The sequence below is a fragment of the Homo sapiens genome, chromosome 11 (assembly GCF_000001405.40).
Source record: "Homo sapiens chromosome 11, GRCh38.p14 Primary Assembly".
NCBI lineage: Eukaryota > Metazoa > Chordata > Mammalia > Primates > Hominidae > Homo > Homo sapiens.
Genome location: NC_000011.10, coordinates 132,628,373 through 132,647,609, shown reverse-complemented (window position 1 = coordinate 132,647,609; position 19,237 = coordinate 132,628,373). Strand labels below are relative to the sequence as shown.

Genomic DNA, 19,237 nt, shown 5'->3' with positions numbered 1-19,237 from the left:
AATATATTTTCTCTTCCTTATTATTTACTTAGTCTCATTTTCTTTACTCCAATTTACTTTATTATATGAATACAGTATATAATATAAATACAAAATATACATTAATCAACTGTTTCATATTATCAGTAAGGCTTCTGGTCAACATTAGGCTCTTAGTAGTTAAATTTGGAGGGAGTCAAAGTTATTTGCAGATTTTCAACTGTGTGGGGGTCATTACCCCCAGCCCTTATATTATTCAAGAGTTAACTAAGTGGGGTGGCGGTCATCTTATAAACATTATCAGATTCTATTTTCCAATTAACCCCAGAGGGTGGGATTCATGTTCCCATTTTTTTGAATGAGAAAACTAAGGCTCAGAGAAGCTAAGGGCCCTGCTGATAAGTACAAGGTTGTATCTTAAACTCACTTCCGTTGACAGTGGAATTCTCCACTCAGCTTCTAGCTTAACTTCCTTTCAATTCTCCACTCAGCTTCTAGCTTAACTTCCTTTCAATTCCATAGCTTTTAAATAAGTAGGTCAGACTGCCACGCCAGGTCATTTACAATACACATCCTTTCTGTGTCAGGTCAGGTTGCCTCTGCTTAAGGCATTGTAGTCTAATCTCTGTGGAGTCAGGGTCTGTCCTTAAACTTTTTTCTCTCTTGTTTTGTTGATCTTGTCTTAGTAATTATAACTTTTTTTCTTGGAGTTAATATCAGCTCTATATCATTGGCTCCTAAATCTAAATTTCCAGTTTTTAGTTCTTTCCTAATTCCATTCTCCAATGTTTGATTATTTTCTTAGCTCCTCAACTTGGGTATCCCTTAGGAATCTTAACATGTTCCACTCTCAACTTATCTTCTTTTCTCCAAAACCTGTTCCTCTTCTCGTAATTCGCATTTCTATTCATGGAAACACCATTGTGTATAAAACCTTGGCTTCAGCTTTGACTCTTTTTCTCTTTTGCTTCTCTATCAAAGCAAATGTCATGTCCAATAACGTCATTCTCTCCCTTTCCGTTCCCACAACCACTACCTTCAAAGTGCAGAATCTTACTCTCTACTGACTTTTGCCTGTCACATCCTAATTGATACCTAATCCTCATCTCTCCCGCCCTATAATTCATTTTAACAGTGTTGTCTAAGTATTTCTGATGCAGATACTGATCATGTCACTTACCCCACTTGTATTTTAATGGATCCCTGTTGACAATGAAGTCAAGTCAAAAGCTCTTAGATTGTCTTTCCAAGTGCTGAGCAATCCAGGGCCAAACCGTCTTTTCTATTCTTACTTCTTTATTTCTTTTTTACTTTTTGGTAGGAGGAATGTTTCTTTCTTTTTAAATTTTTGTTTCCATAGGCTTTTGGGGCACAGGTGGTATTTGGTTACATGAGTAAGTTGTTTAGTGGTGAGTTGTGAGAACAGGTGGTGTTTGGTTACATGAGTAATTTGTTTGGTGGTGAGCTGTGAGATTTTGGTGCACCCATCACCTGAGCAGTATATACTGAGCCCAATTTGTAGTCTTTTATCCCTCACCCCCCTCCCACCCTTTCCACTCTTATTTCTTATTTCTCCACATTTACATCCTACACACAACCTAGTCAAGTTTGTCCTTGTGTAATCCCCGCTGCCCAGCATCCTGCATTCTTCTTCGTTTCTCATAGAATTCATCTGCCTTTAATGTTCTTCTCCCTGGATATCCAAATCCTACAGAAAGCAGTACTGTCCAATAGACCTTTCCGCGATGACGGAAATGCTCTGTATTTACACTCTTCAACGTGGTAGCCATTAGCCACAAGTGACTGTTGAGAACTTCAGTTGTGACTAGTGTGACTGAAAAGCCAAGTCTTTAGTTTTATTTAATTTTAATTAATTTAATTTGAAATAGACACACATGACCAGTAGCTATCATATTGCACAATTTTAGAGTTGCTAGGGCTTTTTAAAAAAATTCCAGCTGCCACTTTACCTGTACTTCCTTGTGATACCTGTAGCTTTTTGTTTCAAATTTCAGTTATTGGTGGATGTAACTCTCTTGCTCTCCTAGACTGTAATTTCCTTGAAGACAAGCCAGAGGAGGTGGCTCCATAATTTTTCACAGAGGCACAGCTTAGGGATAGCAATCTGAATTGGCATGACCATAGAAGTCTCTCTTTCACAAATTCATATAAAAGGTTATTAATCCATAAAAATAATAGCAAAATGTCTTAAATATGCTTTTAAGATTTTAGGAAAGATTGAGGGAAAATGTCAGTTATTCTTAGGAATAAATAAGCATCTCAAAGGGCAGCTTAGTGGGGGAGATATTGGTAGCCACATCATGAAAAGCCACGTCCAGCATGGATTTATTCCCTTCAAGTCCTTTCCCTTGGGACAGATCACTGTACACTGTAGCATTGAAAACATGCCTGTTGAATAAAGAAGTTCTTAGTGAAACCTTAAAAAGAATTCCTTAATTTAGGGCTTCTGGGGAAAATTTCTAACACAGTCACTTTGCTTTAGCGGTGTCAAAAATCACCCCTAAACAAGGTGCCCTGATGGTTGCCCTGGCAGGCAGAGCTGGAAGTGCAGGGACCCAGCCTGCTGCAATCAATTTAATGGGATGGATTATGTGCTCCGATTGGCCAGTAAGCAGACATTAATGACCAGTTAGCAACTGTGTTCAGGTCAATTAATTTATATTTGTATTTTGCAAACTAAAAGTTGCTCTGTTAGATTATTGATTCTTTGTCCCTGTATTCAATTTGTTTTTAATTGTACCATTGCTGGGCCAAGCCCTCCCTCCTGGCAAGCTGGCAATAAATCTGCCACCATCCCAACAATCAACAATAAATGTGTCTCTTCATGTCATTATTAATATGTCTCTTGGATTGGTTCATTACCACGGTTAACAGTTTATAAGGGTCGGTGGCACACTGCCAGGAGGATTCCTTTTCCCAGGGGCTAGTTTGTCGTGACAGGATTGATGTTTTCAGGCCTGTGTGTGTCTGGGAAAGGGATCTTGGATTTAATTTAATATAGCTGAGATACAAGCTACCAAATCCTCTTTTTATCATAAACAGCTTTAGAAGATGATATCGTTGTAATAGATATTTGTACCCTCTCTTTCAATTCTTCTTTCTTTTAATTTTTTTTCTTTCTTATTTTTTCTTAATTTCTGTTCAGATAGATTATTTCCCCCTCAGACACAACATAACAGCTCCCCGGGTAACCTAAAATCCGCAGGTAAGCGAGCCATGCGTCCCCTGGGAGTCCGAGTTTTATTACTGGGTTTTTGTTAGTTAAAAGCAGAGAAGGAGTTCCCTCTGATTGACAGATGAAGGGTGATTAACAGAGCTGTAGAAATACTGCTCCTAGAATGTCACCTAAATCGTGGTGGTGCCTGCCACCACACCCAGCTATTTTTGTATTTTTAGTAGAGACAGGGTAGGAAAAAAAATAAGCCCTATCTTTTAATAGAAATAATAATTAATTATAGCATTGTTATTGGTTCTTTTGGTTATTATGATTTTTCAGGGGAAAGCACAGATTTTAAATGAATTTATAGGTTGGCAGAAGAGATTATTCTGTGTCCCAGAAATGCCAAGCAATAAATTTAAATAGAACTTAGAGTGTTTTCTAAAAACTCCGCAATGATCTGGGATCAGACGACCACGAGGAGTGTTTGTCATTTCCAAGGTACAGGTTGCTTGAGGACAAAAAGTTTGGTCTCTTTCAGACACAAAGTTTGCAGTCAATTTTTTGATTCAGGATGTAGATTTCATATGTGATTTACAATTAGCAAAACACACACACTTCTAGGCACATGGCTCTCTAACGCAGACCAAACTGAGCTTGTTGAATGAGAGAGGCATGGGAGAGTTTGACACTGGATGTTCCCCTTAATAAAAGAGTCTGAGTTAGCCCTGGTAAGTGGAGGGCTGGAGGAGTGGGGCTCCTGCCTGGGAGATTTGGGAAAGTAAAAGGTGATAAGGGAAAGAGATGGAAGAAGAACTTGAAGATGCCTGCAAAGAGCCACAGATGTACAAATGGAGGATGTGAATGAAAATAAAGGAAGCAGAGGAAGGTCGAGAGTCAAGAGAAAGAAGGAAGAGACAGAGGAGCCTCGCCCGTGGCTTGGTGTTCTGAGGGCGCCTCCCTGGTTGGGGGTGGGAAAATCAAAGAGCAGAGCCAGCCTCCCTGAGGCTCTGCATGCAGCCCTCCCGGTGCAAGCCCAATCTGCACCTTGTTCCAGGACACCCTGCGGTTCTCTGGGCAAATGGCACACTCCCCAGGGAGGGTCTCTGCTCTCCGACCGCTCTGCCTGAGCTCCTTCAGCAAGAGGCAAGAGCAGGAGCCAGCTTTTCTTTTTTAGAGATGGAGTCTCACGCTGTCACCCAGGCTGGAGTGCAGCGGCATTGTCTCGGCTCACCGCAACCTCTGCCTCCTGCATTCAAGTGATTCTCATGCCTCAGCTTCCCGAGAAGCTGGGATTACAGGCTCGTGCCACCATGCCTGGCTGTTTTGTATTTTTAGTAGAGACAGGGTAGGAATGAACTTTTTAAAATATTCCCACGTGGGGCACAGCAGGAGCAGGCCAGGTGTCTGCCTCTCACCCTATGCCACCCTCCTTCCTTTCCACACCACCACTGAGAACTAATCACATTGCTGGCCACTGAGGGTTGGGCTTGCATTTTCCAAGTGCTCTAATTTTGAGGTATATTCAACAGAAAAGGCAATACTAATGTTGGCTAAAGCCTTAATTCCTATATATGGAAAAGAGTCTCAATTACTGAGCTGCTTCTAGGAGGAAGGTATGTAAAATTTCACTCCTGGTTTGACCACTTGCTCTGTGACCTGAAATGATTTACTCAACCTTGCTATGTTTCAGAATCTTCATCTGTCAACTGTGGGAAAGAAAGCATGCCCCACCTTCTTCATGAGGTTGGGCATTAAGGTGCAACCCTCTATAGTTTATTAAAATTATTTGTTTTCCACTGCTAGGTTAATTCCTGAAAATGCTTCTGAGATTGCATGACAAATATTATGCCAGGGTGGTTCAGCAACTTTTAGAACTGTCCCTTCACTTATCCTAATATGATTTTATCACATAAAAGCATTGGCATCATAAGTTTTGATAAATTATGTTAGATTTTGTGGATAACAATGGAATAACTGTGCCTCCTTTTTAATACATGTGAACATGTGTGTGTGTTTATGTGTGATACCTCTGTTCTCAATATCTTATAACATTCTTGCTATTTTAAAATATTCTTCTTATAACTAGTTTTGATATTGTTGTCATAATTTTATAATCTCATGTTCAAGATGTACTTCTGAAAAACACACACACACAATTGTACTCATTGAGAGAGAATGAAGAGATGAAGCAGATAACTTTGAAACAAAAGAGAAATAATATCAGCAAGACATCATCAAAGCTTTCATCATAGGTTTTGCTTTCCTTAAGAGCCTTCCATCCCAGCATCGATATTACTTATGCCAGGAAATAGAAAATGTAGAGACCTCCCCAAGTCTGTGTCTTTCAGGGGCCACTACTGCATACCCAATGGAATCTCTTCATTGGTAATGAATTTCCCTTATCTGTAATCACATCCAGAATAAGACAAAACAATATACAATTAAATATCGGCCTATTCTCTAGTTTCAAAAGAAAAACCGTCGGTAGCTGTGGTACACACATCTCCATCACCTCCTTTCAAACACCCTGCCGATGTGAGCCCTGAATGACAACCCCTGAGCACTGGCCACGGCTAATCCAAAGCACCAACAACTAATCACAGAATTGGAGAAGGCAAAATAGCTACTTGAGGAGTAAAGCTTCCCAGTCCTTGGTTCTGCAACAGCAGGGTGGAAAGTGAGGGGACAGGAAAATCAAAGTTCCTTTAAAAAAATTTATCACACATAGAGGCAAAATGTCCCCACAGCAGGAAAGCAAGTGGAAAATACACCAAATCAATCACCTTCAAAATAAGGCTTAAAATCTTGTACTGCATAAGATGTAGGTGGGAAGGGAAGAATGGGCCCAGTGGTTTGAAAATGTTTTATTAAACTGCATGCTGACTGCCACAGTGCATACAGGAAAATGCAATTAAGGCCAGGCCATTAAAAAGACGCCCAAGGATAGCTCTGAGAGAGACCAGGGGCAATCAGCAGGTGTCCAGGCAATGTTCAAAGGAAACTCACTTTGAAAAAGTGCCAGGCAGGTGCTGGGAGCATCTCAAACAGGACAGGCCTGACCTGGGATCTCTTGCACCTGCCTTAAGAGGTGAAAGTGGCAGCTCTGGGCAAGGAGAGGAGGTGGAGGTGTGCGTGGAAGGGCCTCTCAGTGCCTTTCCTCAAGCTGAACTGGAACAGATTCTAACCAGCATTGACGTCCTTAAGGAACATATATGTTCAGGATGTGGTGGCATGTCAAATACAAAGCCACTTTACCGTCATGAGGGGCCCCCAGTTTCCTGAGTAAGGTGAGCCTTAGTGCCTCTGAGATAGAGGCCTCACCCAGCTTCTCCACCAGATCCTGTCCAGGTGATGCCTGCTGCCTAGAGTTGCAGGTGTAGGCCCCTGGTGTGTAGACATGCCACCTGCTTAGAGGGAGAGACCAGAGGATACTGGAACAATCCCTTAATGGACAGCTTGCCTTCTCCTGAGAAGGTCCACAACACACAATGCTTATGCCAGGCAGAAGTTGTCCTACTCAGGGCCTTCCCAGGAGGTGCAGTGTGCCCTGATGGTCATGTCATGGCAGGCCTGGGGCGATCCCCACCCTCTCCCTGCCCTTTAGTGCACCCTGCAGCGCCCTACTTCTGCCTGCTTGGTTCAGGGCTCTCTCTTCTAAATACCTGAAGGTGTCATATGAGCTCAGGCTTTCCCACTTGCCAAACTCCTGGGTGTGGCTCTATCACACCACACCGTAACTACTGCGTTACACATTACACTGTCTTCACCACCAAAATGTATCCACTCTGAGGATGGGAACAAAGTCTTTCCCTCTATATGAACAGAAATGTTTATCCCTAAGGCACAGAACTCACATAGATTAGACGCTCAAAAATGCTTATTGAATGCGTCTGGCATGTAATGAGTAATCAATAAGTATTTCATGATAAAAGAAATGACAATATTTGGTTGGAGAGAACTCAAACAAATTGATTCAGGCATATGTGTGGGTGAACAAATAAACTACAACTCCCATATTTTACAGGCGTGGGTAACTGCAATGTGTGGCTGATGCTAATGACCAATCCTTTCTCCCTTGGCTCTAAGTAAATTCTTGATTTAGGAGATGTGAAGACTCTCCTCTTGTGCTTATCCCGGGGTTCCTAATTTTTGCTTCCATCCTACCAAGCCACGCACTGATGTTTGCAGTCCCACCCACACTGCTCATTGCCTTTCGTTAGAGATGATGTGCTCATTGTTGTGGGTTTGCTCAGGCTCCGGGATATGCATCCTGCCTCGCTCTTTCTCCTCCCATTTCTTGCTGTGGAAGTCTGTGGAATGCTGGCAGGGCAACTCTGCCAGGGTGAGCAGGTTCTTCTGAGGTTTCTAGGTGAAACATCAGCAACAAAGTACCTATTGTGGCTGTAGCAAGAGAAGTTTTATAGACTTCTCTAACGTTAGGAAGGGGAAAACAATTTCTGGGCCTCATGCAATTTAGGAGATGCTCACATTTGCCTCAGAAACTATTGCCTTGCAGTGATTTTCTGCCTCTAGTGAGTAAATGCTCCCCAGGCCTAGCTACTGTCGATGACAGCCATCCCAGTGCTACCTTAGCAGAGCTTTGCTTTCTAGCTGTGACTTGCTTATTTATAGGAAGGTTATGCTTACATCTTCTTTCCCCACTATATTACTTTCTAAAGTTATCTGTTGTCCCCTCTCTTCTTTTACCAGCTCCTTAATCCTTCTCCCTCTAAGCAGGCAATGCTCAACTTTTGCAGCAGGAAAGGTCTCTTTGGAAGGCCTGAGGGCCAGACCAACTTGCCAGTATATTTGCATATATTTACATTTAGTCGGCCTGCAAACATGAGGATTATGTAAAGTGCCAGTCTTAACAGTGAAAGGATTGTGTTCGGATTCAGGAACTTTAGGTTCCATAGAACACAAGGAGGTGGGAGGGGCTGCAATGATTGCTATTCCAGGGAGAAGCATAAGTGCGATTTATGGGAATGAGTGATGGACCCAGGGGTTGGGGCTAGCTTAAATCTACAACCATCCAGCAGGGCTCCTGCCTTGTCCTGCTCACATGTCCCCAAGTGTCACCTTGCACATAGTTAGGTGAAGAGTTGAGATGCTGCCTCTCACATTTTGAGAGCATGCCTCTGGCAAGCTGCCGGAACTTTCTTCTCAGTAAACCTGTTTTCTAGGCACCTAAGCTTCTCTCATTTAGTAAATTCTGCACATCTCTCTGCTGAAAGGAGCTTTCAGACCACCCGCCTGCTCTTTCCTCACGTGTTAAAAGCTGTACTGGGTCCTGACCAGTTTTGATTTTTCTAATCAAGGTAGGTCCATAGGTAATGACATGTTGCCAACATCTTTTGAATGCAAGGGTGTAGAGCTCTCTTTGAAGAAAATAATCATCACGTGGCTACAAGAAAGCAGTACGGTGAGTCAAAAGATCTAGAAAACTGCTCCAGTATCTGTAGTCACCCAACAAATTCTTCCTACCCGCTGCGCAGAAAAAACCAGTTCACTGAGACTATGACAATGCAGTAGAGAAAGAGTTTAATTGACGCGAGGCTGGCCACAGCAAAGAACTGGAGATATTACTCAAATCAGTCTTCCTAAAGGCTTAGAGGTTAGGGGTTTTAAAGGATAGTTTGGTGGGCAGGAGGCTAGGGAATGGGAGTGTTGGTTGGTTGGTTGGGAATGAAATCATAGGGGTATGGAAAACAGTCCTCATGCACTGAGTCTGCCTTTGGGTGGGGTCACAGGGCCTGTTGAATCACAAGCAGCAGATCTGGATGGAGTCAGCAATTTAAAAGTCTTAAAAGACATCTCAAAAGGCCAATCAGAGGTTCCACAATAGTGATGTTATGTGTAAGAGTAATTGGGGAAGTTACATATCTTGTGACCTCCAAAACAACAGCTGGTTATCTTTTAACCACACCCATATCTTAGCAGAATTCAAGCCCCTGTAATAATCCTAACTTTGTGGACGTTGATTAGTTTTACAAGTGTGGTTTAGTTTTGGGAAAGGCTATTGTCATCCTTGCTTTAAGGTTAAACTATAAACTAAATTCTAAATATAATTCTCTCTTGACATAAAGCCACAGAATATGACTTTTTTTCTGTTACCAGCTATAGTGATTTCTATTATAGCTATTAAATACAGGGGTCTGAACACCAGAGTTACAAGATCTATATTAATATATTAATTACATCAAGCTGGATATGTATACATCATATATATATATAGTCTGTATATATGCTCTCTCTCTCTCTGTATATATATATATATATATATATAGTCTGTATATATGCTCTTTAGCTTTCTGAAGAAAAGTGATTGCAGTTGACATCTAATACTATGCTTCTCCACGTAGTGCCTCTTAAAGAAAACAAATGCAGAAGTTCATGTTTTCCATGCCACTCTTCCCTTTAGAATATGATATTAGTTCCTAAGTCCTTCTCCAACTTCATTGCCCATGAGGTGGGTAGGACAGAAGTGGCTGCTCCAATAAGGAAAGCTTTCCCAATCTTCCAATGCAGATTAGAAGTCTCCCAAAGGCAGAGACTATCCTGAGCAGGACATGGAAGAGCAGGTGACCTCTGGGTCCCAGAAGAGCCTGGCTCTGAACACAGGCACGTGATCAATCAGTGTGAATGAATCTAGACACAAGAAAGTTCCATATGGACAATGTCTATGTGTCCTGAGCACTGCCAGGTTCTAATACCTGCCTGGAACATATTAGTCACTTAATTAATGCCTGAGGGAATAGGAGGAAGTAAATATATAAACTAATATTTAAGAACTTTAATATTCAAAGTAGAACTTAGATACATAATCAAAAGTCCAAGCAAAGACCAAAGTCTAGGATGCCAGTCTAGAAGTACTAGGAAGCCAAAAAAATAAAATTCAGCATCAAAGATAGCTGGCAGCAAATGTCAGGGGCACAAACCTGCTGAACAAGGGAAACTTAGACTATGGGCTAAATTATTTTGAAGCTGTGGCTCAAGAGTAGTAACTGTGGCCACTGAAAGATGGAGGTTTCCAAGCCTTCAACAGCCTCAACAGCAGGCTCAGAGAAAGGCTAGCGTACGATTCCAGGTCTGTCCCCTACTTTGGGAGAACCAGGCTTAAAATGTGGGGGTGGTCTGGTCTCAGTGATGAAGCTTAAGAAGGTCCGATCTGCCAGGATTGGAAAAAAACGGTGGAAATAGGGAGAAATCATCAGTAAGGGACTGTTGTGTAACATCTTGTGGACTGATATTTTCACCCAGAAAGAGTCGCCAGAAAAATTCAGCTTCAAATTCAGTTAAAAAAAAAAAAATCTAATTCCTTTTCTAGGTTTAACAACTACAGAAGTAAAAAATATATAAATAGGTAGTATGCGCCTGACCTAGTCATCTATCTTGGTGATTAAATGCTTGGCTAGTTGATGGCGTGTCAATGAAGTCAGGATTACATAAATGATATTCAAACAGTCTCGCCAACAAAGCAGCTAGTAATGCAGATACATTTTTCTACTAACGTATTAGAACCTTTGAAATTTGTTTCTTTTTTTCTCTTTTTTTAGATTGCAAATCTGGATCTTCTTTAAGTTCAAGAGAAGGGAAAAATATTTATGAAGCTTATTAGTGAGCAGACAGTACTTTACCTGATAAATATAAACTATCCCCGAGCCTCCCAGTGTCTTCTTTAGCATCTCCCAGGGGAACAGAGCAGGGTTTTTACACATTAAAATAAATCTTCAGTGCTTTATCACCATAGGTCCTGAAGGGGTTGAATGAAGTGTCAAGAAAATTATTCAGAGATTTTTCCTCTCCACTCACAGTTCTGTAGCCTTAATTTAGTGTATCCTCACATTCGCTATTTCTTTTCCGAGAAAAGCCAGAATAAATGCAAGTCAGGAGGCATTATATGGAAGGCTTATTCGCTTGGACATATGATCACTGTGGTGCAATGGATCCACTTCCCTATGCCAGCATGTATTCCAAGAGGAGGCTGAAACTGCCTTATATTCTAGGCCCTGTGTTTTGACTGAATTAGTTAAATAAAGTGCAAAGCTACATGAGCTGGATGAACTAGGCCCTTTCTTCTACCTAAAATAACAGAATTATGTGACAAATGTATGCACAGTGGTATGTTTACCTTGAAGCACCCAGATAATTGCTTGAATTCTGCACGTGACTTTACTAATACATAACTATTCATTGCAAAGTTTCAGAGGCGCTTGTTTAAATCTGGATTTTAGGGAAATAACAATTTTCTAAAGCATCATTCATCCACAGATAATTTAGAACAATTTTATTAAAAAAATAATAAAAGCACTTACATCGACCCTAAAAATCTGAATACAGCAAGCAGGTAACTGGGTGCGCAAAACACTCATTTGCATACACAATCAGGCATTTATGGAAGCACATGCCCAATTGTGCATGTAAAGACGGGTTTCATTTGCACTTTATTGCTTCAAACAATGGACATCTTGTATCCGGGGGGGAGTATTTTCAACATGTAGCTATCTAAATTTACTATTTCAGCTTTCTTTTCCTTAAACATGAATGTAGCCTGAAAGCTGCTTCCTGAAGTTCAACCTCCTGCCGCTTGGTTCTGTTTGGGGAGATTCTAAGTGATGACTTATGATCATGATTACCTTGCAAACGTCTTTTGTCTTCCAAGGGCAGTGGGGTGGAGTGAATAGAAGAAATCTTAAGAGTTTTAAGAAAGTGCTGCTTGTTGACAGCAAAGATTATCTTGTTTGATAAAATCAATTTTGATGACAGCACAATCTGAGATCTTCCTTGAAGTTGATTTTATCGAGATAATAGATTAAGTATGTCTGTCAGCTAGAGTTTGGTCAACAAATTTTTTTTTGGTCAAATTTCTCTGGTAGGCAAGACATATATCATGAAGTCTGGCTTTTTTTTTTTTTTTCCTTGAATAAAACTCCATTTCAGAAAGGAAAAAACATGGGAAGGTAGACTGGGGAAAAAAATGAGTCTCCTTCTTTTCTAAATCATATGCTTTGATGAGGACCTTTCATATAAGCCATCGATCATTCCTGAGCCTTAACAACATTTGACTAAAGTTTTTGTTTTTGTTATTGTTTTCTTTCAAGAACAAGGAATGGGAGGAATCGAATTGGAAATAATTTAAGTGTTCTTTAGGACTTCTTAAAAATATACCAATTTTTATTTTGCAATGGGGGGGATTGTATTATATTTTAAAAGTAAGCATACTCCATAGTTTTAGACAGGGAAATTTAGATTTCCACAATTTTTGCAGATTTTTAAGGGGAGAAAGACCTCTAAATAATTGGCCATCATAAATCTATACCCAAAAGTTGTTCCAGAAGAACTACTCCACACTGTAATAATCATGGGCAGTGTTACCGTCTCACAGTTAAAAATGATATTGGATTTCCAAACACAATTGCACAAATCTTAAAACTACTAAAATCTCCAAGAAAATCTTCCTCTTGGAGCATGAGCTCCTCTGCAGCTGGTCTTACAACATAGTAAGAGGGCATTATATTCTTATCTCGCATGCAAGGCTGAGTTAGAATCTTGTGTTCTAGTCCTGAGTGTATCGGCCCAGTTAATCCTCCCTAACAAGTTGGGTGATAGTGGAAAAAATGTGACTTCACTCTGGGATCTACTGAAGTTCAATTTCCTGCCACTTGATTCTAAGTGATAACTTATGGTCATGAATGCCTTACAACCTTCTTTTGGCTTCCAAGGGCAGTAGGGTGGAGTGGACAGAAAAAATGTTAAAAATTTTAAGAAAGTGCTGATTTCTCATCTCTAAAGTCTCTTCCTGCTTCCTCATCTCTTCCTGCGAGGACACCCCATCTTTAGAGATGAGGAAGCAGCACTACATAATCCCCAAGGTGCAGATCTAATCATCTGTTGAGCTGTCCACTGTATGACCCTTCCCTTGAAGCATGTAACTACTGAGGCATGGGCTCAGGCAGGATAGAATATTTACATTTCAGTCCCCCTTTGCCTTATTTTATTTTGGATTGGGAATGAGAACTCAAAAGTATATTCAGTTATTAGGGACTGTCATATGTAGTCCAACCTGCAGAAATTTTCCACATGTGCAGATGTTCCTTGTGGAAATTTTAGGTGTAATCATGGCAGACATTGTTGCTTACATACTCAATAGCTATTTCCACCATCCATAACACTAACAACCTGCTTCCTTTATGAGAGAAGCCACTTTCCTCTAAAGAAGCTCGAATACCATAAACTCATTTTCTGAGACACCCTGGAAGCCAGGCTGGGCATAGCCAGGCCATCAAATCTTAATTAGTAGGATCCAGGGGGAAGTCCGAGGGCAGCTATCTGGAGCAGCTTTCCTTCCTTAACAAAAGGTGACATGCAAGAAAAATCCCCTTTCCCTTTTTGCTTCTGCTAAATACTGCTGTGTCTGTATGCTTGCCTGCAACTGCTACCCCCATCTTTTGACTGTGATGGTCCAAGCCACACACTGGAGAAGAAAGACAGGAAGAACCTGGGCCTTGAGGCTCTCACTGTAGCCCTGACTTCCACCCCCAGCCTCCCACCCCCGATTTCTTACATGAGGTAATAAACGTCTTTCTTGTTGAAACCCTTTTTAGTTGGTGTTGGAAGGAAACATTATTGATGCCTCTTTTACCCAAAAGAAACTCTACCAAGTAACACTCTGTGCCTTTCCTGGCACCCTCCCTTACTTTCCCTCCTGCTGTCCCCACCCCACACCCATACACACCCCTTACCACCAGGGAGAAGAGATGGCTCAATCTGATCAGGTTTGTGGAAGGATAAATCAGGAGGTATCAGCTCTTTATTTTGTCTTAGAAACTGACCTTCCAACAGATGTCCTGTGTCATGCAGCGTAAGAGGCCAGGCTCAGACCCAGGGCCTGGGGCCTCCTCGCACTTCCTGTGACTGGGGGAGTGGGGTCGAATCCTGAGGCTCAGGATTGGGATGCCCATTTGCTTACGTAAAGATATAAACCACATTCCCGGCTTTTAATTTCTATCAGAAATGAAGGGCTATTTTTATTTCCATCTATTTTCTCCCTGTTTGTCTCTCAAGTTGTTCTGAACTTAGGCAGGGAAAAGAGAGCTACCAGCACCTGTAGTCCCAGCTACTCGGGAGGCTGAGGCAGGAGAATCACTTGAACCCAGGAGGTAGAGGTTGCAGTGAGCCGAGATCACACCACTGAACTCCAGCTTGGGCGACAGAGCGAGACTCTGTCTCAGAAAAAAAGAGAGAGAGCTACCGATTGTCCCCCTCAAACACCAACAGTTGGGTGCTCTGTTACTGGCAGCAGAAGACACTTTGCTGTGTTGTTGGTGCAGATTTTCGATTAGCCTAGGACCACCTTTATAGGCAGGACAGACTGCACTTCCTCATGCTCCACCGTCACCCAGCTCAGTCCACTTGTAATTCTGGTTGCTGAGAGCTGACTCACTTGTCATGAGGCACTCAGGGAATAAATTCGTCATCCTGGATGGTTTTTTTTTTTTTTTTCAATATGGTGAGAACATCATTAGTTAGGTATTCGGTAGATGTACGAGAAAGGCTGAATAGTCATGTTTCTTTATCATCTCTGATGATGAAACTCCTCCCTGCCCATCTGAACAGTTGGAAGGAGTCCAGAGTGGAGCAGCAGCCGTGCTGAACGCAGAGATGTGGAGATGGCCACATTTGCATAGTTTGGCTATGTGACAACTGAAAGGCGGATATGACAGAATAGATACATATCTCACATACCAAAGAGAGAGTGATTACCTCGCCTTGCTGAAGATAGGGAAGCAGAAAAAGACCAAAAGGAGTAGATATACCGGGCTGGCTATCATGGAACCACTCAGGAAGCGACTCCTCTGCGGCGACATTGTGTTGCGTGGAGATAGGATGATATCCTGAGAATCATAGAGCCACTGGAGAGAGACAGACATCACTTGAAGTCCCTGCTCCATTACTTAAAAGATATCTGACCTTACAAAAATCAGTTCATCTTTCTGAATATCAGTGTTCTCATTTTTCACATGGAAATAGTGTCACCTCCTCTTCTCGTGTCACAGAGTTGTGAAGGTGTAATGAGTTAAGGAACGAATGCAAAGGAACCTTTTAAATCATAATATTATTTAAATGTCAGCTGCTTGCTTTGACGACAGTTCCACAACTGTGTGATCTCCTCCTTGCTCCCTCCAAAAAAAAAAAAAAAAAAAAAAAATGTGTTTGAATAAAGATGCCTGAGGCACCCTCAGGGGCCTAACAAGATCCTGCCCAAATCTCCATGTGGCACAATCATGTTCTCATTCTTTCTTTTTTTTTTTTTTTAAGCTGGATCTGCATTCCCTATCCTAGGGATGTTTACAGGAGGGACTCTTTCAGGCAGAAACCATTTTAACAGCCCAGCCCTGATCAGCATGGCTGCCACATTTTCATTTCCAGCTACGTGTTTCGTTACCCAGCTGAAAACCTGGACAAAACTTATAATTCAGTGGCCTTCTGTGAATAGGTCCTTAGGGTCTCACAGATGTCCTGGATGTTAACACACATTCACACACACAAAGAATTTATTGATTTGACTTGTGATCTTAATAAATACTCCATGATACGTCTTGCCATGCTGAAGGATTTTGTAGACACTACCTGTCTTGTGCTTTTAAATCTATTTCCTAATATTGTTAATCTATTGACTTTTTAATAATATTTTGATCATAGGGTAAGTTTTCAAAAACGTAAACAGAGTTAAATGTGAATATATTTTTCTTGTTAAACTAGTTTTTAGGTTTCTTGTCGTGGTTTAAAAATATATGTCTCTACTAAAAATAAAAAAAAAAAATTAGCCGGGCGTGGTGGCGGGCGCCTGTAGTCCCAGCTACTCGGGAGGCTGAGGCAGGCGAATGGCGTGAACCCGGGAGGCGGAGCTTGCAGTGAGCCGAGATCTTGCCACTGCACTCCAGCCTGGGGGACAGAGCCAGACTCCGTCTCAAAAAAATAAAGAAATATATATATACATATGTATGTATATATATATTTCCTAAAACCTAGGGAGATTATATATATCTTTTATGTATATTTACACCTAGGAGATATATATATATATATATATATATGTATATATGGTTATTTTTTTCTTTTAACATTTAAGTATTTATTATTTTACTGAGATAAAATTTGCAACTACAGATCTTAAGTGTTCAATTTGATGAGTTTGAAAAGTTTATATACTCAATAACTGCCTTCAAAAACAAAGAATTTTTTTTAAAAAGTTCTCTCATAACTTTCCTTCAGTAGTAGCCACTGGAGGAAAATTATGAGAGAACTTAAGGAAATATTACGTATCTCCCTAGGTTTGAGAAAATGTACTCTTTTGATATCTATCACCATAAATTTGTTTTGCCTAATTTTGAGTTTCTTATGTATGATTTTATACAGTATATATCTATTGCATTTAGCTTCTTTCATTTATCATGCTTCTGAATTTTTCTTCTGTCTTTTATGTAGACATAGTTCATTTGTTTTTATGTATTTGCTGAGTAGTATTTTATTATATGAATATATTACAATTTGTTTATCCATTCCCCAGTTGGAATGTATATTTGAGTTGTTTCCAGGTTTTTGTAAAAATGAATGAATCTGTTATAAATGTTGTTGTGCCAATCTTTTTGTGGACATCGTTCCTATTTCTTATACTAAGGAGTATAATTGCCGAATCATGGTAGAGATAGATGGTGAAGTTTATAAGAAACTATCAAGCATTTTTACAATCATTGTACATTTTTATACTCCCACTTGCAATGTATGAGAATCACGATTGCTCTGCATCATCACCAACACTTGGTGTTGCCAGTCTTTTTACTATTAATTATTCTAGTATGTAGTGGTATATGCTCTCTGCTCTCAACTATGAGAAGACACACACACACACACACACACACATATTGTGTCCTATTCTTTCAACTTATCAATTTAACAAATACATTCTCTCATATTACCAAATGTTCTTTGAAGTACAGTTTTAATGGGGTTACAGGCACGTGCCACCACGCCCAGCTAATTTTTGTATTTTTAGTAGAGACAGAGTTTCACCATATTGGCCAGGATGGTCTCAATCTCTTGACCTCGTGACCGCCCCACCTCAGCCTCCCAAAGTGCTGGGATTACAGGTGTGAGCCACGGTGCCCAGTCCTACCATTTCTTCACTACTCCAAATAGCTTTTCCTTATTGTCATAAATAACAGTGTGATGAACATCTTCATACATTGACATTTGATGTTTGTTATTCTTTAGTAAGAATTAATTGGTGTATAATCACTGCCTTAAGGGATAAGAACATTTTAAAGGGCTGAGATACATATTGTGGATTGCTTTGTAAAATAACGTATACCTCACCAACAATTGTTAACAGTGCCCTTGTTAACCACAACTTTCTCACTATTGTTTTAATTTTTTTAAACGCCAGTATAGTCATTGAAAAATGACCTTTTAATGTACAATTCGTTCATACTAAGTGGATTAGATTATTTTATGAACATACTTAGGTTAACAATTTTTACATCTAGATTTCAAAATATCTATTCTTGTTTCTTTTTAACTTATTAGTGCCTTTTATTTTCTTTATATCCATTATTATGGCCAACTTACAGAATAATGTTAATTATCTGCTTGACATGTTTCTAGTTAATATGTTTTCCAGTTTTCTTTATCTGCTTGGTTTTAAGTAGAACAACCTTCCACAAACCAAAGATGACAGAGTATCATAAACTAAAGAATATGATGAACTCAACGCTGCACCTGGGGCCAAGTAGGAAAAAAACAAAATAAAGCAAAAAATCATTTTTAGATGTTTCTGACATTTTAAAAGAGGATATTATTGGCATAATAAAAGACAGTGGTTATGTAACAGTATTTTGGTACTAACTTCTGAAAGTTTCTTGAGTTACCCCTATTTTCATATGCAATGAGGACATCATTAATCCAGATAAAACCTCACTGAAGATTATATGTAAATTAGCCGATCATAGCTAAGGTCATGTCTGTGTGGTCCAAGTAGAAACTAAAGACAATAATTTTGTTGCATATAATTCTCATTTATCTTCTGATCAGCTAGACTGCATAAGCAAGCCAAGCATTATCTACTGTACTCAGTAAGTTGTTTTAATCAGACACCTGGGATTTGCTTTAATTAGATATGGTAGGACATGCAGACATGGAGATGACTGTCACGAGGAAGAAGTTCATTATATTCACAGATTCTTGGAAACAGGGGCACAGCGTATGACGCAGGACCAAGCAGGGAAGCACCAGGTTGGGCTGGGAAGCAGAAGAAGTGAGAGGAAAGTGTTACTGTGCTTTCCATGGGAAGGAAAGAGCAGGGCAGGGCAAGCAGGCTTAGGATGGGTTGGCCTGAATAATTTCAGTGGGCTCTGGGGTGAAAGTGAAGGTGTGTAGTAATCCATTCTCATCCTGCTAATAAAGACACACCCAAGACTGGGTAATTTATAAAGGAAAGAGGTTTAATTCAGCATGGTTGGGAAGGCTTCAGGAAACTTAACAATTGTGGCGGAAGGGGAAGTAAACACATCCTTCTTCACATGGCAGCAGCAAGAAGTGCCAAGCAAAGACGGAAAAGCTGCTTATAAAACCAGCAGATCTCGTGACAAGTCACTCACTATCATGAGAACAGCATGAGGGTAACTGCCCCCCCTCATTCAATTACCTCCCACTGGGTCCCTCCCACGACACGTGGGGATTATGAGAACTACAATTCAAGATGAGATTTGGCTGGGGACACAGGTGGTGTAAGGGTGTAATTATCTGGTACCTGGCCCTAGGGTAATCAGGGCAGGCGATAGTGGCCCAGAGTGGGAGAGCCTGAGGAAGGAGATGATTGAAGCTGTGGCCTCTAGATTGGTTCCTTTGCATATAGAAGGTTAATTCACTTACAGGTGAGTCCTTTCCTATTTCTGAAAATTGACTAATCCTGGGAGGGGTAGTGCTTCCAAGGTCAGCAAGACCCCAGATGCCAAAGCATCAGAATAAAGAAAATAAAGACAGGAATCACACACATGTCAACAGAAACAATTCTCAAAT

General features: G+C 40.6%; 1 protein-coding gene across 8 annotated transcripts in view, besides 2 other annotated features; it reads left to right on the top strand.

Annotated features, from left to right (window-relative positions):
- The window catches only part of OPCML (opioid binding protein/cell adhesion molecule like), a 1,117,521-nt gene that overhangs the window by 884,892 nt on the left and 213,392 nt on the right, over positions 1–19,237 (top strand). The window lies entirely within an intron of this gene.
- Positions 3,761–4,260: an enhancer, noted in NCBI's record as "H3K4me1 hESC enhancer chr11:132513245-132513744 (GRCh37/hg19 assembly coordinates)". NCBI's record gives its function as "activates a minimal SCP1, AML or CMV promoter by ChIP-STARR-seq in naive H9 embryonic stem cells {active_cell/tissue: H9 hESC(naive)}" and the evidence as "EXISTENCE:reporter gene assay evidence [ECO:0000049][PMID:30033119]".
- Positions 13,801–15,000: an enhancer, noted in NCBI's record as "CDK7 strongly-dependent group 2 enhancer chr11:132502505-132503704 (GRCh37/hg19 assembly coordinates)". NCBI's record gives its function as "activates an origin of replication core promoter dependent on BRD2, BRD4, P300/CBP, MED14 and CDK7 cofactors, with strong dependence on CDK7, by STARR-seq in HCT116 cells {active_cell/tissue: HCT116}" and the evidence as "EXISTENCE:reporter gene assay evidence [ECO:0000049][PMID:35650434]".